Here is a 22,892-nt window from a genome sequence, read left to right as displayed (position 1 = left end):
CGTGAATACACCATTACACTCCAGCCTTGGAGACAGAGTGAAGCCCTGTCTCAGTAATAGTAATAATAATAATAATAATAAGCTAGTGTGCTTTGTTTTGAGACAGAGTCTCACTCACTCTGTTGCCCAGGCTAGAGTGCGGTGGTACATTCTCAACTCACTGCAAACTCTGCCTTCCAGGTTTAAGCGATTCTCCTGCCTCAGCCTCCAGAGTAGCTGGGATTACAGGCATGCACCACCACACCTGGCTAATTTTTGTATTTTTATTGGAAACGGGGTTTCTCCATTTTGCCCAGGCTGGTCTCGAACTCCTGGCCTCAAGTGATCCACCTGCCTCGGCCTCCCAAAGTGCTGGGATTATAGGCATGAGTTACTGCGCCCGGCCCTGCTAATGTTTATTTGGGAGTTAATATACGCCACACACTGTTCTAAGAACTTTGTATATATTAATTTGTTTGCCCTTCCCAACAAATATATGAAGCCAGCATTATTACTTTTGTTAGACATTAGTGCTGTTTATCAATCATTATTTCCTCTTCTCCCTTTTTGCAGTATTATGGGCGGCAAGCCACCCAGGCGCCGAGGCAAGAGACAGAGGACACGAGCTGTTCCAGTATAATAAAATATAAAACAAGAATAGTTATACCAGATATAGATCTTAGAGATGATTATATATGAATATCATTAATCATTAGTTGGTAGTAATTACTCTTTATCCCAATATTATAATAATCTTCGCTCTATAATCATAACCTAAGAAAAACCAGGCCATACAGAGATAGGAGCTGAGGGGACATAGTGAGGTGTGACCAGAAGACAAGAGTGCGAGCCTTCTGTTATGCCCAGACAGGGCCACCAGAACGGCTCCTTGGTCTAGCGGTAACGCCAGCGTCTGGGAAGACGCCCGTTGCTGAGCGGACGGTGGTCTAGCGGTAGCGTCGGTGTCAAGGAAAAACACCTGCTACTTAGCGGACCGGGAAAGGGAGTCTCCCTTTCCCTGGGGTGAGTTTAGAGACGACTCTACTCCTCTACCTCTTATGGAGGGCCTGACATTGTCAGGCTTGCCCGCAGTTATCCAGGGGCCTAACCGTCTCCCTGTGATGCTGTGCTTCAGTGGTCATGCTCCTAGTCCGCCTTCATGTTCCATCCTGTACACCTGGCTCTGCCTTCTAGATAGCAGTAGTAAATTAGTGAAAATACTAAAAGTCTCTGATATGCAAAAATAATGGTGTAAGCTGTCTTTCTCTTTGTCTCCTCTCTCTCTCTGCCTCGGCTGCCAGGCAGGAAAGGGCCCCCGTCCAGTGGACACGTGACCCACGTGACCTTACCTATCATTGGAGATGACTCACACTCTTTACCCTGCCCCTTTTGCTTTGTATCCAATAAATAACAGCGCAGCCAGACATTAGGGGCCACTACCGGTCTCCACACATTGGTGGTAGTGGTCCCCCAGGCCCAGGTGTCTTTTCTTTTATCTCTTTGTCTTGTGTCTTTATTTCTACACTCTCTCGTCGCTGCACACGGGGAGAGACCCACTGACCTTGTGGGGCTGGTCCCTGCACAGCATGTGGTAGGTTTTCACTTTGCAGTATTCTTCACATTTGGTATAGCCATGGGACTTGTTTTGATCAATAATTATGTGAGTGATGTGTATCACTTGCAGGTGGAAACATTTAAGAGCCAGTTTATTTTTCTTTTCTCCTTTTCATTTTGACCAACGATGTTCATATGGTAGAGCCTCTTCTCAGCTTTTGTCTTCTGGAGTGGGCAACATGTGCAGAACCCCAGCTGATCACGTTGGATACATAGCATGTGTTTCTCTCTTTTTTTTTTTTTTTTTAAGATGGAGTCCCGCTTTGTCCCCCAGGCTGGAATCTTGCTCTGTCCCCCAGGCTGGAGTGCAGTGACATGATCTTGCCTCTCTGCAACCTCCGCCTCTGAGGTTCAAGCGATTCTCCTGCCTCAGCCTCCTGAGTACCTGGGATTACAGGCACGTGCCACCATGTCTGGCTAATTTTTGTATTTTCAGTAGAGACGGTGTTTCGCCATGCTGACCAGGCTGGTCTTGAACTCTGACCTCACGTGATCCACCCACCTGGGCCTCCCAAAATGCTGGGATTACAGGCGTGAGCCACCGCACCTGGCTGCATGTGTTTCAAGCTACTGATTTTGGAGGGTCGTTTGTTCCCACTGTGTAGCCCAACCTATCCTGATAATCCCATTTTATGGGTGAGGAAACTGAGGCACAGAGAGGTTAAGTCACTTGTCAAGTCGCACAACTAGTAGATGGTGAAGCCAGGATTTACTCATTCATGTATTAATCCATGCTCTCTAGAACCTTAAAACAACTCAGGTTTCCAATTTTCTAAGGCCTGGGCTTCAACTTCCCCACCCCTGTACCAGTGGTTCTCAGTTGGAAGTGACTTTAGCCTCTCCCACTTCAAGGAGACATTTGGCAATGTCTGGGAGACATTTTTGGTTGTCATAACTTGGAGGGGAGGGGAGTCGTCCTGCTGCTATCTCATGGATAGAAGCCAGAGAGGCTGATACACATCCCACCATGAATGGAACAGACCACCCTCCACCAAAACAAAGAATTATCCAGCTTCAAATGCCAATAATGCTGCTGTTGAGAGGCCCCGACTTACAATAAATTCCTCTGTTGCTTAAGTTAGCTGCAGTTGATTTCTTTTGCTTGCTACCAGACAGTCTGTTGGGTTATTATGAGTTAGTTAATTGATTAATTGAGAGTGGTGGGGTGTCAGTGCTGGGACTGGTCTTATTTGACATTTGCCTAACTGATCTGGAGGTGTAAGTGGTGAGAGCTCCACATTTGCTGATGACACTTCACTGTGCCAGGTAGTGAAATGCCAAGCCGCTGGTGATAAGCTGCAGGAAGATCTCACCAGGCTGTGTGAGTGGGCAGAGGAGTTGCCAAGGATGAGCTTCAGTGTGGGCAAGTGTAAGGTGCCGCGCTTGGCAAAAATAATCCAAGCTATACATAGAGGTTCGAAGAGGATGGAACAGGATAGAAGAAAATGAATAAAAATTAAAAGAACTCCAGAGTGATCCCCAAGACTACCTGATTATAAGACTCACCTGAGCTCCAGCTAACGGTACAGGTGCACAAGCTCTTGCCCTGGAGATACTTGGTCAGGAGTCTGTGCATTACTTCTCAGGCCTGCTTTTAATTTCCTGTGGGAATGCAGAGCCAGCTTTTACAGATTTCCTGATTTTTGAAGAGAAGCCACAAATCCTGGCTTTTATGTGTATGTTCCCATTTTCCCTCATTTTTGGTCTCTTTTAATTTTGATATAATTTGAATCTATAGAAAAAACTGCAAGGAAGTTATAAACAGCTTCCATATACCATTTACCCAGATTCACCAATTGTTAACATTTTGCCCCATTTTCTGCATCATTGTAAGTTCCTAAATTTTAAAATCACACTACAGATCAAGCTAAAAATGAAAAAGAAGGATTTTTTTTTCCCTTAAGACAAGGTCTCACTCTGTCATCCAGGCTGAAGTACAGTGGTGCAATCATAGCTCACTGCAGCCTTGACTTCCTGGGCTCAAGCAATCCTCCCACCTCAGCCTCCCCAGTAACTGGGCCTATAGGTGCGTGCCTCAAAGCCGGGCTAATGTTTTGTAGAGACAGAGTTTTGCCATGTTGCCTAGGCTGGTCTTGAACTCCTCGGCTCAAGTGATCTGTCCACCCCAGGCTCCCAAAGTGCTGAGATTACAGGCATGGGCCACTGGGCCATTGAGCCTGGCCAAAATATATATATATTTTTTTAAAGAGGTGAGGTCTCGCTGTGTTACTCAGGCTGGTCTCAAACTCTTGAGTTCAAGCAATCCTCCCACCCCAGCCTACCGAGTAGCTGGGACTACAGGTGCACACAGCCATGCGTTGGTTGTGAATGAAATTTAGTCCTCACGCTATCAATTGGTGACTTCTGAAGCCCAGTCTTACATCAGACTAATTAACAATCTCTGGGTTGGAGACTGGACATTTGTATTTTTAAAGAATTCCCTCTTGGTGATGCTAATGTACAGCTAGGGCTGAGAACCACTGGTGCCGGTCCCCGATGGTAATTTTATTCCCCTTATTGGTGACTGGTTTAGGAATGAGCACATGACCCAACACTGTCCTGTGAAAGCTTTTTCCACTCTTTTTTTTTGAGACGGAGTCTCAATCTGTCGCCTGGGCTGGAGTGCAGTGGTACGATCTTGGCTCACTGCAAGATCTGCCTCCCGGGTTCATGCCATTCTCCTGCCTCAGCCTCCCAAGTAGCTGGGACTACAGGCGCCTGCCACCATGCTTGGCTAATTTTTTGTATTTTTAGTAGAGCCGGGGTTTCACAGTGTTAGCCAGGATGGTCTTGATCTCCTGACCTCGTGATCCGCTCACCTCGGCCTCCCAAAGTGCTGGGATTACAGGCGTGAGCTACCATGCCTGGCCTACTTTTTCCACTGTTAAAGACACCTTTCTGCTGGATGTTGTACCTTGATACAATGGGATATTGTATTTAGATATGATAGTATATTGGCCTAAGCATGGAAGTGTGGAAAATAAAAAGACTTTGGGTTCTTGAGTTTATCTTTGAGCTGCTGAAGTAACTAACCCTGGGACCCCTTTACCTTGAGATTTCTTTTTATGGAGCAGACATTTTTCGTATTTAGGTTACATGGCAGACACCTGCCAAAGATTTGTGCACACTTTATATAATATAAACATATTATTATTTGGAAGCAATTCTCCGGACATGGATGACATTTTCAGCATTCCTTCTCCTGGAATTTAGATGGAACTATGTGATTCATTCTCACCAGTGGAATGTGACATAAAGTGGGTTACTTGTGGGCCAAGGTTGTTATGTTTAGGTGCATGATCCTTCACATTCTCACCACCACTTCTTTTCTCTTCCCTCCCTTTACCAGGTGGATGACACCAGGATAGCCCTGAAGCCACAATATGGTAGAACTACAAGACAGAAGCAGCTTGGGTCCCTGAGTCACTGTGTGGAGTAGAGCCATCTAGGAGTGTTACTCAGCCAGGAGTGCCTGCAGTAGTCTTTAGTAAGAAATAAAGTTTTCTTCTGTTAAGTACTTGAGATTTTAGGATTTATTTTGTTATGACAGATGGCCTAGTCTACCTGATTAATACAAGCTAGTTAAGTTGGAGTTAGGTGTTACTTGCAGCCAAAAGCATCTTACCTAAAGCATTAGACAAGGACCCGTAAGTCGAGATTACCATCTCAAAACTGGTTTTTTGTTTGTTTGACTTGTTTATTATTTACAAAAATAAAGCTATCAACATACCATGAATTTTATATAATATCCAGGGATTCTTGCTTTCAACTTGGTGACTTGGCCTTGCCATTGCCTTTATGATGTCTTCTTAGACTGATGCTTTACTAAACCCTCAGACCTGGCCACTTTTTTTCTGGTTACTGGTTCTCTCTCAGTCTTGGCTGTTTCTGAACTGAACTTGCTTTGAGGTTCTGATCTCTCTTCAACAAACATCCTGACTAAATACCATTCTGGCATGGCTGTTCTGTCTCTACAAGGGACTCTCAGCTGTACACCTGTAACCGAGTGTTCCTCTGTTCTAGAGACACAGCTTCTGGTTAGTGTTTATTTGGTAGCCCACTCAGGCTGGCTCAAGAAAAGGGAGGATTGTTGAAGGAATGCAGAAAAAGTGACCCAGGGATCTGAGAATGGCAACTCAAATTGAGATGGGCCTTGAGGAGACGGGACAGGGAAGCTATTAGAAACAAAGAAGAGACCAAGAATGGTGGCTCATGCCTGTAAATCCCAACACTTTGGGGGCCTGATGCGGGAAGATCACTTGAGCCCAGGAGTTTGATACCAGCCTGGGTAACACAGTGAGACCCTGTCTCTACAAAAAATAAAAAAAATTAGCTGGGTGTGGCAGCACACCTGTAGTTCCAGCTACTCAGGAGGCTGAGGTGAGAGGATCACTTGAGCCCAGGAGGCTGAGGCTACAGTGAGCCGTGATCGCATCTCCGCACTCCAGCCTGAGTGACAAGGAAGCCGCTCCCTTCCTCTCCCTTGAGATGTTTCTGCTTTCCTCTAAACAGTTCTTAATGCATTCTCCTTCCGACCCACCACGTGAACGGCTCCATATTAGGCATGGATTATATGGTCAAGGACCTTGCTCTCACAAAATGTGTGTTCTTGTAGAGAAATCTATAAAAATAAATAAACAAAAACAAAATAAAATATTACAAAATTTTGACCTCTCAAGGGAATAAGGATGAACTCGAGTAAAGAATAAGAGGTGATCTACTTTAGAGAGTTGTTGAGGAAAGTCCTCTCTCAGGAGTGACTTGTCCAGCTCAGATCTGAAGGATGAGAAGGGGCCAGCCATGTAAAGAGATTGAAGACATTTCAATCAGTAGGAATGGCAGGTGCAAAGGCCCTGAGGCTTGAGCAAGGAACTGAAAAAAGGACAGCCTGACTGGAGTGCAGGTAGCAAGATGGAAGTATTAGATTGGCGCAAAAATAATTGCAGTTTTTGCCATTGAAAGTAATGGCACAGAATAAAGTTACTTTCGCACCAACTTAATGGCACAGAATAAAGTTGAATGGGTCAGCATGCTCCTGATAATGCAAGAACTTGGAGATCCTAGACAAATTTTGTTTTTTTTTTTTTTTTTTTTTGAAGAAGGAGTCTCCCTGCACCCAGGCTGGAGTGCAGTGGCGTGGCCTCGGCTCACTGCAACCTCCACCTCCCAGGTTCAAGCAATTCCCCTGTTTCAGCCTCTTGGGTAGCTGGAACTACAGGTGCCCACCACCATGACTGGCTAATTTTTTTTTTGTATTTTATGTAGAGACGAAGTTTCACCATATTGGTCAGGCTGGTCTTGAACTCCTGACTTCAGGTGATCCACCCGCCTCAGCCTCCCAAAGTGCTGGGATTACAAGCGTGAGCCACCATGCCCGGCCAAAAATTTGAATTTTATTTACGTACAATGAGAAGCCTTTACAGAGTTGTCTTCTCTTTACCAAGCAGTTTTTTTTGGTATAACTTTAACCTGCATTTGGCTGACTGTTGCAGCCCTAGCCTCATGGGTCCCTCATATCCTCTCTGTTCTGCTCCTTGTAGCCAACTGGTAATTGCCTTTTGTGTCTCTTAGTTAAGTCTCTTAGAGATCATCTGATTGGACCAGCTGACCTTTTGGAGTCTAGTTGCAAATCCTAGACCACTGGCCATCCTATGACTGGATTGGCTGGCCTTATATCAGGTGCAATCTTTGATCCAATCAGCTGTGACCAAGGACAGGTCCTGCCTTCCTACCAGGGACTGTAGATAAAGCAGGCAATGATACTCCAGAGATAAGATCTAGGAAACTAGCATTTCACTGGGTGCCTAACTTATTAAACTTCTGAAAATACATGTTAGGTAGTGTCTAATGTATTCCTGATTAAAACTGTCAAATGGCTTCTAAATGCACTTAGGGTCAAAACTCAACATCCTTAGCATGCCCTTAATGCTGCATCCTCTGGACCCAGCTTTCTTTCCTGTTCTCATCAGTGCTACTCTTCCTACACCTTACTGGCCTGTTTTGCTGTTGTTGTTTGCTTGGTTGGTTGTTTTTTGTTTGTTTGTTTGTTTTTGGTCTCTCCAGTCTCAGGACATTGCACATGCTGGTTTTTTTCCCCTAGACACTTTATTTATTCCCTTTCCTCGAATAACTCCCAATCTTGCTTTTGCTCTGATCCTAAATGTCATTTCCTCTTCTTTGATCTCCCCTCCACCAGCTAAATTAGAGGTCCCTGTTTATTTATTTATTATGTTATTTTATTTTATTTTTTGAGATACCGTCTGGCTGTGTCGCCCAGGCTGGAGGGCAGTGGCTTGATCTCGGCTCACTGCAACCTCCGCCTCCCAGGTTCAAGTGATTCTCCTGCCTCAGCCTCCTGAGTAGCTGAGATTACAGGCGTGTGCCACCACATCCGGCTAATTTTTGTATTTTCAGTAGAGGTGAATTTTCACCATGTTGGCCAGGCTGGTCTCGTACTCCTGACCTCAAGTGATCCACCCACCTCGGCCTCCCAAAGTGCTGGGATTACAGGTGTGAGCCACCGCACCTAGCCAGAGATTCCCATTTATATTTGTATTTTTTGCATTACGTTTTCCCTTCATGACATAGATCACAATTTTGAATGATGTTGATGTGTATGTTCATTTGTTCAGTGCTTGTCTCCTCCACTAGACTGAGACTTCCATGAGGACAGTGGTCATATCTTTTGGGATTATTACTCCTTCTGGCTGTCTTAGTCTGTTTTGTGTTGCTGTGAAGGAATCTCTGAGGCTGGGTAATTTATATATAACAGAGGTTTATTTGGCTCACGGTTCTGCAGGCTGTACAAGAAACATGGTGCCAGCATCTGTTCTGGTGAGGGCTCAGGAAGCTTTTACTCACAGCAGAAGGCAAGGGGAGCCGGCATATGCAGAGATTACATGGCAAGAGAGGAAGCAAGAGAGAGACAGAGGGGAGGTGTCAGGCTGTTTTAAACAACCAGCTCATGTGAACTAATACAGTAAGAATCCGCTCATTCCCAAGGGAGGGCATTAATCTACTCATGAGGGATCCACCTCTCTGACCCATCTGCCTCTCATCAGGCTCCACTTTCAGCATTGGGGATCAAATTTCAACATGAGGTTTGAAGGGGGTCAAACATCCAAACGATAGCACCAGCGCACAATAAGTGCTGAATGATAAGTGCTGAATAAATAAATGAATGAATAAATGGATGAATGCGCAGAAGTGAGAGATTGTGTGGCCCGAGGAGCCACAAAAGACTTCATGGTGCTGGGTGCAATGGGTCATGCCTGTAATCCCAATACTTTGGAAGGCCGAGGTGGGCAGATCACTTGAGGTCAGGAGTTTGAGACCAGCCAACATGGCAAAACCCCATCCCTAATAAAATACAAAAATTAGCCGGGAGTTTTAGTGTACACCTGTAATCCCAGCTACTTGGGTGAGTAAGGCATGGGAATTGCTTGAACCTGGGAGGCGGAGGTTGCAGTGAGCTGAGATTGTGCCGCCACATTCCAGCCTGGGCAACAGAGTGAGACTCTATCTCAAAAAAAAAAAAAAAAAGACTTCATGGAAAGCATGAGGCTTGACCTTGGCCTTGAAGGATGGATAGGATTTGGAGAGGGCAAGCGGAAACATTTCAGGTAGGGATAACCTTTATCAGCAAAGGCAGAGAATCGGGAGAAAGCCTGAGCTAGCCCAGGGTATAGTGTGGACACCAGCCTGATTAGTGCAGAAGCCTGTGCTGACAAGATCTGGAAAAGAAGATTGTCCAGGCAGAAAAGCACCCAAATGGGAAAAATGTAAATCTGTGAACTATATTAAATCACAATAGCTAACATCTATATGGTGCTTATGGTGTTTCAAGTTCTTTTCTAAGTGCGTTGTGAAGGTAAGCTCATTTAATCCTCACGATGAACTTACGGAGTAAGTGCTATATTTGTGCCCATTTTATGGACAGAGAAGCTGAGACAGAGGGTGACGATCTTGTCAAAGGTCTGTGGTTGATAAATACAGAGCTGGGATTCAAAGTCATTGGATTCAAAGTCAAAGGAATCAAACTCCGCAACTGTCCAGATCCAGTTGCAGAGTTTCCATGCTTGAATGTTGTGCAAGCTGCCTCTCTGTTCTCAAAAGGTAGAGGCATAACTTGGCAAAAACTCAGTTCCAGGGACTACACATTAAAGCAGCAGCAAAGAGAAACTCAAGGGTTCTGGTCCTGAGATTGGTGGAGGGATCTGCTGGTCCAGAAATTTGGTCCCTCAAATGCAGCTGGGAAAGGGAGCTGCATTTGAGGGAGAAGGAGATGGAGAACTCAGCAATGGAGCAAGAGATTCAAGCAGCATGGCCAGGAATGCTTAGTGAGGGGCTGCTGCATGGGCTTTCAAGTCAGGCAGACGTGGGTTTGTGTATCGACTTTGCTGTCTACTTGTAAGTTTCACCATCTTCACAATGGATTTAACAATCATACCTGCCACAAATATGAGAATTCAATGAGACAAGATGAGTGAAGTTCATGGCACAGTGTCTGACACAGAGGGTGGCGGCTTAGTGAATGGAAATAATCTTCCAGTGGATTTGGATGGCAAGGATAGGCCTGAATCCTGGCTGCAACCCAGAAGTGGTAATATTAATATCTATCTGATGCCAGCCAGCGGGGTTCAACTGAGCAGCTGTCAAGCAAAGGTATCCCGAGGCTCCTGTGCCAAAGCTTTTCAGGGAGCAAACCTAGATGGTGCGGTGGGGAGGCATGTGGGGTACAGAGGGAGTCCTTCCGGGGGTCACGTGGCCATTTCTCTCCTCTAGCACTCTGGCCTTTGCAGAAGGACTTTATTCTTGACTACCAGGGCTGATACCCCGCTAGTTAAGGCGCTGGGGCCTTTCTCTCCATCCCAGATCCACTTCCCCGATGCCCTGTTTTTGCACACTCCCAGTTCCCAGGGTGCCTGGATGCTGCTGCTTCCCCTTCACAGTGTTCTTCACATATTTGCTCCAGTTCTCAGATCCTTCCCTCTCCAAGGGTGGCTGGACCACTTGTCCCCAAGAGTAGGAGGAGATGCATGGCCCCTGAGCAAAGATGACATGCAAATTCGTGAAGCATTCCACAGTTTCAAATAGTTAATGCATTCAGGGCTTAAAACCTAGATGACGGGTTGCTAGGTGCAGCAAACCACCATGCAACATGTATACCTAGGTAACAAACCTACAAGTTCTGCCCTTGTATCCAGAACTTAAAGTAAAATAATAATAAAAAAAAATTACCTGAGTTACCATTCCCAAATATTTTTCACATGCTTCAAAATAAAATCTACCTCATCCTTCATCTTTAAAAAAAAAATTAAAAAAATAAAGTGCTCTGTAAACTTCCATAATAAAAAGAGTAGATGATTTGATATGGTGCATGGCCGCAGTATCACAGAGCGTCAAATCACACAGTGAGAAGGGTATTCCCTTTTGACTTCTCCTTTGCTCCTTCTGAGTAAACCAAGGGAAGCATCTTCTTTTGGTGCCAGAATATCCTTTAACACCTCTCTAACACTTCGGTTATATCCTTTTCACAAAGAACAGGCAGCCGGCAGCCGGCCTTCAGCTGAACTCAGGGAGGTGGAGGTTGCAGTGAGCTAAGCTAGCAACAGCTAAAGTATAGCATGATTGTTTTCGTTTGTATTGTATTTATTTTCCCAGTTACCATTTGATTATGGCAAGGAATTTCAGTTTTCTCTTTATAGTAGTGTTATAAAATTCCTTTTCGAAATATATTTATTAAAGGATTAAAAGCAAGTAGGCTTGAAGAAAGACATTAGGTAAATAGTTGTTGATGTGGGATGTGGCTATAAAAAACTTCCTAGGAGTGGCGCTCAAATGACTGAGCTTGGAAAATGCTGGAATACTGGGGAAGCCACGCAACGTAGGAAGCAGAGGCTTAGATACAAATGTCGCTCTGCTCATTAGCACCCAAGACGCTTACTTTCTTTGAGCCTCTATTTCCTTACCTGCCAAAATGGAGATGATAATTCCTACTACACGTGGTTCTTTGGAGGACTAAATGAGATAATTTAATGTATGTGCGTGTCATTTGCATGCAATGACTCAAGTGTTGAACAAAATGAATTGTCCCTAGGTGCACTTTACAATGAAATTTACTGTGTGAGTGTGGGCAAGGTACTAGTTTCCCAGTACTTCTGTCCCATAGTGGGAATACAATTTGGGCAAGTCATGGTACTTCTCTTTCCTCAGTTTCCTCATTGGTAAAGTGGAGATTTTGGGAGGTATTTTCTTCATGGGATTACTGGAAGGATGAAATGATTTTGTGTGTGTATGGCAGCAGAACACAGCCTGGTACCCACAGTATCAGCTAAGTGTGAGCTCTCAAGCCTGCAACCCTGCCTCCTAGCATGCTGCGGCCCTAAGTGGGAAGGCTCCTCAGAAGTGCGAAGACCTGGGTGTGTGCCAAAAATGCTCAAGGAAGTCACTGTGGGCATAGGTGACATATTTCTCATACTTTTTTCTTTTCTTTTTTCAGACAGGGTCTCACTCTGTCACCCAGGTTGGAGTGCAGTGGCATGATCACGGCTCACTGCAGCCTCCACCTCCCTGAGTTCAGGTGATCCTCCCATCTCAGCCTCTCAAGTAGCTGGGACTACAGGCATGTGCCACCATGCTCACCTAATTTTTGTATTTTTTTGTAGAGCCAGGGTTTCATTGTGTTGCCCAGGCTGGTCTCAAACTACATTTGTCTCAAACTACATTGGCCTCCCAAAGTGTTGGGATTACAGAAGTCAGCCACCATGCCTGGCCAACATATTTCTCATGCTTTCCAACATCAAATATTTAAAATATTCAAATCCTTCCATTCTCTCTTCCCAGAGCCCTCAGAGCCTGTGCAAAGTATACTCTCTCTCTCTCCCTTATATAAAGTAACTTCCATTTGGCTTTTATCTTGCTAAAGTAACCCTTGCTGTGGACTGAACTGTGTCTCCATCCACCTTCCCATTCCCCCAAAATGCATATGTTGAATCCCTAATCCCCAGTGTGATGATATTTGGAGATAGGATCTTTGAGAGATAATTAGGGTTAGATGAGATCATGGGGGTGGGACCGGTGGGACCCTCACTGTGGGATCTGTGGCTTTATGAAAAGAGAAATTGAGAGAGAGAGAGAGAGAAAGAGATTACTTTCTTTCTATCATGTGAGAACACAACAAGAAGGCTGCTGTTTACAAGTCAGGAAGAGGAGCCCTGAGCAGAAACTGAATTACTGACATTTTAATCTTAGACTCCTTAGCCTCCAGAACTTTGAGAAATAAATGTCTGTTGTTTAACCAGTCTTTGATTTTTTTATTTTTAAGAGCTGGGGTCTCAGCTAGACTTGAACTCTTTAACTCCTGGGCTCAAGTGATCCTCCCGCTTCAGCCTCCAAGTCTGTAGTTCCATGAGCTGGGACTACAAGCTCATGCCGCCTCTCCTGGCCCATTTTGATATTTTGTTGTCACAGCAAAAGCAGATCAACATAATGCTTACTCTGCCTAAAATCCACCTGAAACATTGAAAAATATATATCAATTGTTTACAATGTGCTAATCATTTTACACACAGTTTTATTTAAACCTCATAACTCTGTGGAGGAGAGTGCTATTATCATGTTCCATTTTACAGATGAGGAGACTGAGGCTTGAGGCTTAGGTGACTTGCCCAAGGTTCTAGAGCTATTGCATGCCAAAGTTAGATCTTGAAAACCAGCATTCACTCACCCACCCCCAGGTAGCCTCCAGGAATTCAAGTAGAAGGATGCATTGATTTGGACATTTGTGGGAATGCCTTACTAGCTTCCAAAGGTGCAGGGAGATCCTTCCTAGTGGCTCAAGTGTGGATGAGCAAAGTTCAGCTTCCAAGATGGACATGAGCCAGTTTGGAGGCAGGGGAGTGAGTTTGTGTAGGAAACACCCACAAGAAACAAAACACCCCCGGCTCGGTTGGTTACGACAAGGCAAAACCTTTAATAACATGAGTGCTTATTACATTAGCTGCTTCGGGGCTCTGACATCTTTGATTTCTGGTCATGTTTTTCTAACACATAAAGGTGAATGCCTCCCTCAGGGCCACCTGGGCGGTGGTTGGTTTCCTGAGGATTTGTGTGGGTAGACAATGGGGACAACTATGAGCGCGCCTGATGGAGATTCGGAAATCCCCCCTGGCCACCACCTGTGACTTTTAGTAAAGTCCTCTTCCAAGGAGGGAAGAATGTGGAGGTCCTTCCAGTAAAGAAGGAAGAAAGGAAAACATCTGGCACAGATACACAGAGAGAGGAATGACATTAAGGGATTGGCTTGAAAAGTTAGAGAGGATGGAGGGGTTAGGACTTGGAGGGTGAGGGGAAAATGTGGGAGAGGGCTGAGTCCATTTGGTTTCATTCTTTGTAAAAAGTAATACCATCACAAGGACCATGCCATGCAACCTCAGAGACATCTCTGTACACTTCCCCCAAGGCTGTGCTGGGCGTGGGGCAGAGGTCAGAGGTCAGTTCAGACGGGCGTGGTGCGCCTGTTGGCCGGATTATTATGCAGTGACTCTTTGAACTCTTTGGGTGTGGAATTGTGGAACTGTAGAAAAGCGTGGTCCCGGTCGGAGTTGAGGAGGGTCCCCATGGTGATCTTTGAGGGGTCCCGGGAGAGGGTGAACATCGAGATGTCAGTGGAAGGGATGGTGTGGAAGCCTTTGCTGATGGGGGACAGGTCTCGGGATCTGGGCTCGGTGGAGCGAGAACTTGACCGCCTCCGGAATCGATACCTGTAGGGTGGGAGGCGGGCAAAAGTAGATTTCTTCAGGAACTCCGAGTGGGATTTGGCTCGTAACTGCTGATGTTTTTCAATATAGATGTGCACGGCAACCACTCCTACAATTTCTGCGATGATGAAAGAGAAGGCTCCGAAATAAAAGGACCAACCATAGGAGTAACTTTTTTTGGAGTCACGCTGCCCGGGGTCTCCGGCGTTGGCTGATATATAAACTATGATGCCAATGATGTTGCTTAACCCTAAGAGAAGGGGAAAAGAAAAACACGTCCTTTATACACCTCGGAGAGAACTGTCACTTTCCATCTTAAAATATTTATAGAAAATGTGGAGGTAATGGGGAGAGAGGAGAATGGATTATAGCTGGGAAATCCAACCACCTAGTTCTTCTTGCATGGTCTGTCACTTAGGAAATGAAGAATTCTGCTGCTCAGTTCCAGGCAATGTGTATTCAGCTGAAGAATACACCCTACTCCTACAGCAAGTACGGAAGAACTCAGAATGCACTTATTTTTCCCTTAGAAGCAATTCATCTCATCAACACTTAATCTTTGGCACTAAGTCATGAAGATTGTAAAATGAACAAGATACACGCCTCTGCCCTTGAATTCTTTACCATTAGTAGCAAAGACTGACATGTAAATGCAATTACAGGAAAATACAGTAAGGGTGCTAAGGAGACACATAAAAATGGTTCAGGAGGAGAAGGAGAGAGAAAGACTAAGAACCTGGCACTGAAGATGAGGTGACATTTGAGCCGGATCCTGCAAATCAAATAGGGGTGAGCCAGGAGATGAAAGACTGTTGACGATGGCATGTGAGAGAAGGCATTGAGAATGACTTACTAGGGTTCTAACTTGGATGCTTGGGAAGCTGGTGGCATTTTGAGCTCAAATAAGAGGCAGCAGAGAATCCAGGTTTAGATAAAAGAGGAGGTTTGAACACATTAAGTTGGAAGTGCTTATGGAAAATCCAAATGGAGCTGCTCAGTGGAAATGTATGGGTCTGGAGCTACAATTTGGGACAATAAATAAACCCATGGGGAAGAGGTGAGAGCTTACCAAGTCTTTTCATCTGCACAGGATATGATAATGCTTCAGATCAGCTGTTGTTTGAGCACCAGGGCACCAGGACTTGGGGAGCAGGAAGCTGTTACCTCCAACGGGCGAGGCTTGCAGACTTAGCTTCCCAAAGTGCCAATATTGTTGGAAATAGCTGCTTAGCCCACTGGAGAGGAATCAGTTTCCTAGGTAGTGGTCAGTAGGAGCAGGAGGTTTGGAGGGCTGTGCACATCTCTGCCTACCTTTCTCATGTTCTTACTCCGAAGGGGATATGTCTTTTTTTTTGTCCCTTTGTTTCAAGGGCCTCATCCAGGTCATGGTGCCAACAATGACTCATGGAGGTTGTTGGTACACCAGCTGGCATCTCTTTGCCTCCAAATTTAGGCTACCTGTAGGGTGGTGCTAAATGGAGGTTGTCCCTCATTATAGTTTCCGACAACAGTTGGTGAGTAACCATTTCCAGGAGCCTCCTGAATTCTCTCTCCATTCCTTGAATGTTCCGTACTCTTTGTGGGCATCCCCAAGATCTCCCTACAGTCCAGCAACCAAAGGGTTAAAGCTTGGTAGAGCAGGAGACACAGGACTGTGCTCCAGTGCCACCCTTCTGCTTAGCTGGTGCACATGCATTAGGATTATTAGTTGTTGTTTGTTTTGTTTTGTTTTGTTTTTAGAGATAGGATCTTGCTCTCTTACCCAGGCTGGAGTGCAGTGGAACAATTATAGCTCATTGTAACCTCAACCTCCTGGGCTAAAGGCATCTTCCCTCCTCAGCCTCCTGAATAGCTGGGACTACAGGTATGTGCTACCAAGCACAGCTAAGTTAATTTTTTTTTTTTAGAAATGGGGTCTTGCTATGTTGCCCAGTCTGGTTTTGAACTCCTGGCCTCAAGTGATCCTCCCACCCTGGCCTCTCAAAATGTTGGGATTACAGACATGAGCCATCATGCCCAGCCTCAATATTTTGAATAGGACTTCTCATTATATTTCATCTCAAATTTTTCTCCAGAGTACAGGGCTAAAATTTGCTGCTTCTCTCCTGCCTCCTCTTGGCTGTACCCAGCACAGACATTCAGCAGGTAGGCAGCAAGTTCTCATCACTGAGCTATTTCTTATTATGGGGTTTGACACATCCAGCTCTGTGTCAGCCTGCAAGAAACCACAGGGTGACAAACAGCTCCTCTTCCTGGAGTGTCAATTTGGCTTGAAGATGAGTAGGGAAGACATATTCTTTTATATTAAAATGAACATGGATATAACAAGGAGGAGAAGGCAGACTTCACATGAATTTTTAAGTTAAATGGGAGTCAGACTTCAAAGACGTCTCAGCTCAATGAAGGTGGCTTCTATTGATGCCCCCTGACTCCCCCGGGCCATGTTTTTTCTCTCCTCTGCCATGAGGAATGTTTTGATGGCAAAATTTGGAAAGTCCCCAAAGAAGGTCTTTCTGGGGGCAGCACGGTGGGTGGCGGGGAGTGGGGAAGGAAAGAAAGAAGTTCAAAGAGAGGCTCAGATGTCAGATTAAACTGATAGGAAGCCAAGCGAATTGCCAATTATTTACAGGGCGCTTACCATGTGCCACACACTGTGCAAAATCTTTATATGCATCATACCTAGTAATCATTGCAGCAGGCCCACTTAAAAAATGATTTCTCTTTTACAGATGGGGAAACAGACACAGAGAAGGTAAGTAACTTCCCATGTCGAGCACAGCCATTAAATTAAAACTAATTGCAAAAACCACAATTATTTTTGCATCAACCTAATAGAAAATGGTTGAAGTGAGATTTGAATCCAGAGCTCTTAGCCATGGTGGATTTAGATTTCAGTAACAAGGCTTAGGGAAAACAAGATCTGAGTAGGCAATTGCTTTTTCCTACTTTCAGACTGTAAACTCCCTGAGGGCAGGGACTAGGCTTATCTCCTTCATTGCTATGGCCGTAACTCCCAGCCCAGAGTCTGATTCATAGCAAGAGGGCAGTGCATATTTGTTGAATGGGTGAATAAGTGGAGTTGATATGAGAATTAAATGGTACATTGTACATGATAACAGCTACTATGTGTTGAAGACATACTGGATGATAGGCACCACTCTGGGCACTTTATCAATACCAACTCATTTAATCCTCTTAACAGCTTCAAAAGGTGGGGCCGTTATGATACTCATTTTTCAGATGGAGAAATAAATGGAAGCACAGAAAGGTTAAGTGACTTGCCCAAAGTCACACAGCAGGAAAGTAGTAGAGCTACATTTGCGCCAGGCAGCCTGACTTCAGAGCTTACGCTCTTGGGCATTCTGCATAGTATCTGACACGTAGTAGGTGCTCAATTAAGAATTGTTTTCTCTTTTTTCCCCCCAGCACTCTTATTTACCGATTTAAAGGGTTGTTAATTGCTTGCCTCAAATGATCAACCTTAGTGTAGATGAGCAAAAAACAGCCTTAGAGAGTAGTGAATCCTCCAATCCTTTCATTTTAGAGGTGGAAAAACAAGATCTTCGGGTTCTTTGGGGAGATCAGTGGAAGGGTCTAGGATTAGACCCCAAGCCTCTGCCTTCCCGTCAGGCTTCCTCCACACACTCACACACTTTCTAGTTCCTACGTGTCTAGTCTACCTGCCATCCCTCACAATACCTCTTGTGAGAAGAAAGTTGCTGGTGACACACTCTTCCCTAACAATCCCCTTGGGGGACAACATAATGATCTTCTCTTGTTCTTAGGAAACTCTCACATCAGCATGACACTGGTACTGATCCTCTGGATCGGCCAAGCACCCGGGAGATCTGGATGGGGCCACCAGTGACAGGAGCGTGCCTCAAGACAAAACAAGTCCCTGGGTTTGCCAGATGCTAACATCTGTCCACACAGAGCAAGGTAGAGGCCACCGCCACCTGTGGGCTGATCTCACTCCCCTGGGGCAAGATGGCAGTTCTCTTTCTGGTCTGTTGCTTGAGTCGGTTCTCAGAGACTCAGCTTTAGATAGTCTCCCTTTCTCATCTCACAGCCGGCGAAGCAGTGGGGAAGGAATTCGAGCAAGATCTTGTGGGGCTCCAGATTTTGGAACTGTGTGGTTGCTGTTTTTCTAATACTAGAAAATAATATTGTGCTTTCTCTGTTCAGTCTCTGATATGGTTTGGCTCTCTGTCCCCACCCAAATCTCACCTTGAATTTTAATAATCCCCATGTGTAAAGGGTGGAGCCAGGTGGAGATAATTGAATCAAGACAGGAGTTTTCCCCATACTGTTCTTGTGGTAATGAATGAGTCTCATGAGAGCTGATGGCTTTTTTTTTTTTTTTTTTTTTAAGATGGAGTGTCACTCAGTCACCAGGCTGGAGTGCAGTGGGGCGACCTTGGCTCACTGCAACCTCTGCCTCCTGGGTTCAAGCGATTCTCCTGCCTCAGCCTCCCAAGTAACTGTGACTACAGGCCTGCACCACCACACCCAGCTAATTTTTGTATTTTTAGTAGAGACAGGTTTCACCACGTTGGCCAGGATTGTCTCAAACTCCTGACCTCATGATCCACCCGCCTCAGCCTTCCAAAGTGCTGGGATTACAGGCATGATCTGATGATTTTATAAAGGGGAGTTCTCTTGCACAAGCTGTCTTGCCTGCTGCCATGTTAAGACATGACTTTGCTCCTCCTTCGCCTTCCACCATTGTTGTGAGGCCTCCTCAACCATGTGGAACTGTGAGTCAATTAAACTTCTTTCCTTTATAAATTACTGAGTCTCGGGTATGTCTTTATTAGCAGTGTGAGAACAAACTAATACAGTCTCCTTCCAGCAAACCCCATGCAGCTGGTACTATTATCATTATGATTACGACTATTTTGAGACAGGGTCTTGCTCTGTCACCCAGGCTGGAGTGCAGTGGTGTGATCATGACTGACTGCAGCCTTGACCTCCCGGGCTCTAGCAATCCTCCCACCTCAGCCTCCTGACTACCTGGAACTATAGGCACCCACCACCAGGCCTAGCTAATTTTTAAACTTTTGTGCAGATCGGGTCTTGCAATGTTGCCTAGGGCTAGTCTTGAAGACCTGTGCTCAAGTGATTCTTCTGCCTCGGCCTTCCAAAGTGCTGGGATTACAGGCATGAGCCACCAAGCCCAGCTGCAGTTGGTACTATTATCATTTGCCATGTTATAGTGAAGGAAACCAAATTACAAAGAGATGATCACATTTCCCAAGGCCTGATTGGTGGATCCAGGATTGAAATCCAGGGGGGTTGCAAGCCACTCTTCCTCACCATTTTATACTCTCCACCGCTGTCCCCATCCCAATCAGTACTCTACCATCACCTTGCAAAGTTTGAAAGTCATCACCAGAGTCCAGCCCCGTCTTCCCCCATCCCTACCCTGTTCTTTGCTTCTCTAAAGCATTTCATCCAAATGGCACTGATCCACCCCAAGAGGAGTGGGGTAGGAAGAGATGGTAAAGGGGTGAAAGCAAGGATGAAGGATGAAAACCCAGAGGGAAGCAAGGAAGACAGGACACCAGTGAAGGGATGGAGGTGGAGGGAGGTAAAAGAGGCAGAGAACAGGACCCTTTAACAGGACCCTTTTCTGAAAGTTGTCTCTCAGCATCCTTGCCACCCTGTGCCTTCTTCTGGTCAGGGCTCCTATTGACTATAAGGTCTTCCCCCAGAGCATCTCGGGCTGCTGGTCTTTACCTTGTTCCCAGAGATGCTTGGAATGATATGAGGATTTGAGCACTTCAAAAGCTGGATGGGGCTGGACTCTCGTGATGACTTTCAAACTTTGCAGGGTGATGGCAGAGTATTGATTGGCATAGGAAGAGTGGAGGAGGGTATAAAATGGTGAGTAAGAGAGGCTTGAACAATAAGTAGCTGTCAAATACAAATCCCAAAGGGCCAGAGATCGTATATTAACATGCCCAAGTGAACACAAAAATGCAGCTGTATATTTTTACATTTACTTATTTATTTTTTAGAGATGAGACTTCACTTTGTCACCCAGGCTGGAGTGGAGTGGCAAGATCTTGGCTCACTGCAGCCTTGACGTCCTGGGCTCAAGTGATCCCCCCACCTCAGCTTCCTGAGTAGCTGGGACCACAGGTGTGCACCACCACACCCAGCTAATTTTTTAATTAACATTGTTTTTTGTAGAGATGAGGGTCTCACTGTGCTGCCCAGCTGGTCTCGAACTCCTGGGCTCAAACAATCCTCCTGCTGTAGCCTCCCCAGTCAATCAGTTCACACGTACCACATATGCAAGCAGCAAGCATGTATGTACACTCTTATAAATCTCTCTCTCCTTTTCTCTTTCTCTCTCCTGCCCCTTTCTTCTTCCCTCTCTCTCTTTCAATCTCAGCTGATCGTGCCATGCTGTTTCCTCCCTGTTTTTCCTTCATGCCGGCTTTAGCTAGAGTTTTGGCATCTTTGGTTCTAATGGAATTCTTGGAGTTCTCATCCTTAGCACAACTGGAACATTTTCTTGCTCCTTCCCTGGAGGGAGCCCTGAGTAGCATTGCTTCCTCCATGTGGCCCTGGCTTCAGTTTGGTATCTGTGAAGATCTCAGGGCTGGGGCCAGACACTCACCTGCAGAGACAAAAAAGATGCCCGCGCTGAGAATGACGTTGTGTCTGCTGCGGTGGAACTCACTGGCTGCCACGCAGAGCCCGCCGAAGAACAGCAGCGTGACACTGAGGATGGGGAAGACACTGGAGGCCCTCACAGCTCCTGCGGAGAGAAGGAGAGAGGCTTCTGCCTGTGCCCAGCCAGCCCCTGGGGTCCTCCCATTGCAAGCGCAGGAGTGCCTGAGAGGAAGGCAGCACAGGAAGAGAACAGAGCCCATGTCTAACACGGGCATGAGACCAGGCGCTCAGGGCCTGTGCTTAGAAGGAGTCTTGGCACTTGGGGTTGATGCTCTGCAGTCACCATTCTGAGAGTCTTAACGATTTTATAATCGAATGTGTGTTTTATAAGTGAAGTGAAGTCTGATGGGACAATGACACATGCACTGGGGCTTGGAGACTTGACTTATGTGGAACTCCACTCTCTACCTCCTCACCTATCACCAACACCTTCCCACCTCCCTGCCTCCCTGGAAAAGGCTCTCAAACGCCCATTCTCCCTCCTCAGCCCAGCGACTACTGCCCCCATTTTGCCCTTGGTGGGAGCCCAGGCACGGACACAAGGAGAGTCAGAGTTGGGTGCAAGCCTCAGGTCCCTGGGAGGGTTTGCGCTCACTGGGAGAATGTCCCTGCACCCAAGGAGGGTGATATTAAACGGCAAATAGAAAACACCATGATAGATCGAGAGCGATCACAGAAAAAATTAAAAGTTTTTTGTTCTGTTTTGTTTTTTGCTTGAGGTTTTTTTGAGATGATGCTTGTTCTGTCACTCTGGCTGGAGTGCAGTGGTGCAATCACGGCTCACTGTAGCCTCACCTTCCAGGCTCAGGCAATCCTCCTGCCTCAGCCTCTCAAGTAGCTGGAACTACAGGCATGTGCCACCATGCCTGGCTGATTTTTGTATTTTTTGTAGAGATGGGATCTCACCAAGTTACCCAGGCTGGTCTAGAACTCCTGGCCTCAAGCAATCTTCCTGCCTCAACCTCTCAAAGTACTGGGATTATAGGCATGAGCCACTGCACCCGGCCTAAGAGCCCAGGATTTTCATTTCACACTGGACCCTGCAAATGACGCAGCCAGCCCTGTATACAGGGACTCCCATCAGACCACATGCTGCTCATTAAAATGCAGAATCTTTCCCTGCACGCATCTACATTTGCATAGTAGAGAGTATGACAACACCCATTGAATACCCATTTAGTCACGAATGAACAAATGAATTTGCTTATTCATTTGACAAATATTTCTTGAGCACCTAATAGATGCTAGGTGTTGTGGCGGGTGCTGCAGTCATAGCTGACATGTTTAACCACCACAAGGGCGCAGGCACTGCCCTTCAAAAGGGACACTGGCTGAGGAGTCGAAGCAGAGTCCTGGAGGTCCCTGTGTCAGCTTCTTATTAAATATTTTCTGGATCATGGAAGGCCCTAAGGTCCTGGGAGAGGGGCCCCATGTGGTTGGGGTCCCAGTATTTACCCATCCAGTATAAGAGTATTTTCTGGTGGGTCCAGGCCAGAATACATCAGCTGAATAAATTCTGTGCTCATTGGTTTACCAAGGAGCCAGGGGTCCTGTCATCAAGGGGCTTACACTCTAGTAGCAATGACAGGCAGGACCAGCGGCATAATTTACAGGGCCTTGTGCAACACAAAAATGTGAGGCCTAGCCAGGCATGGTGGCTCAAGCCTGTAATCCCAACACTTTGGGAGGCAGAGGTGGGTGGATCACCTGAGGTCAGGAGTTCAAGACCAACCTGGGCAACATGGTGAAACCTGTCTCTACTAAAAATACAAAAATCAGCTGGGCATGGTGGAGGGCACCTGTAATCTCAGCTACTTGAGAGGCTGAGGGAGGAGAATTGCTTGAACTCAGGAA

General features: G+C 45.9%; 1 protein-coding gene across 1 annotated transcript in view, besides 1 other annotated feature; it reads right to left on the bottom strand.

Annotated features, from left to right (window-relative positions):
- Positions 1–13,543: 13,543 nt before the first annotated feature.
- The window catches only part of CACNG3 (calcium voltage-gated channel auxiliary subunit gamma 3), a 106,078-nt gene continuing 96,729 nt past the window's right edge, over positions 13,544–22,892 (bottom strand). The window contains exons 3-4 of the mRNA NM_006539.4: positions 20,983–21,123; positions 13,544–14,604 (exon numbers count right to left, since the gene is read on the bottom strand). Coding sequence (NP_006530.1) covers positions 14,093–14,604; positions 20,983–21,123 — 653 coding nt within the window. The 3' untranslated portion in view covers positions 13,544–14,092. The remainder of the gene's footprint in view (positions 14,605–20,982; positions 21,124–22,892) is intronic.
- Positions 17,886–18,390: an enhancer, noted in NCBI's record as "NANOG hESC enhancer chr16:24368887-24369391 (GRCh37/hg19 assembly coordinates)". NCBI's record gives its function as "activates a minimal SCP1, AML or CMV promoter by ChIP-STARR-seq in primed H9 embryonic stem cells {active_cell/tissue: H9 hESC(primed)}" and the evidence as "EXISTENCE:reporter gene assay evidence [ECO:0000049][PMID:30033119]".

This window comes from Homo sapiens, chromosome 16 (assembly GCF_000001405.40).
Source record: "Homo sapiens chromosome 16, GRCh38.p14 Primary Assembly".
NCBI lineage: Eukaryota > Metazoa > Chordata > Mammalia > Primates > Hominidae > Homo > Homo sapiens.
Note: the sequence above shows the minus strand (reverse complement) of the source record. Positions and strands in the feature narration are given on the sequence as shown.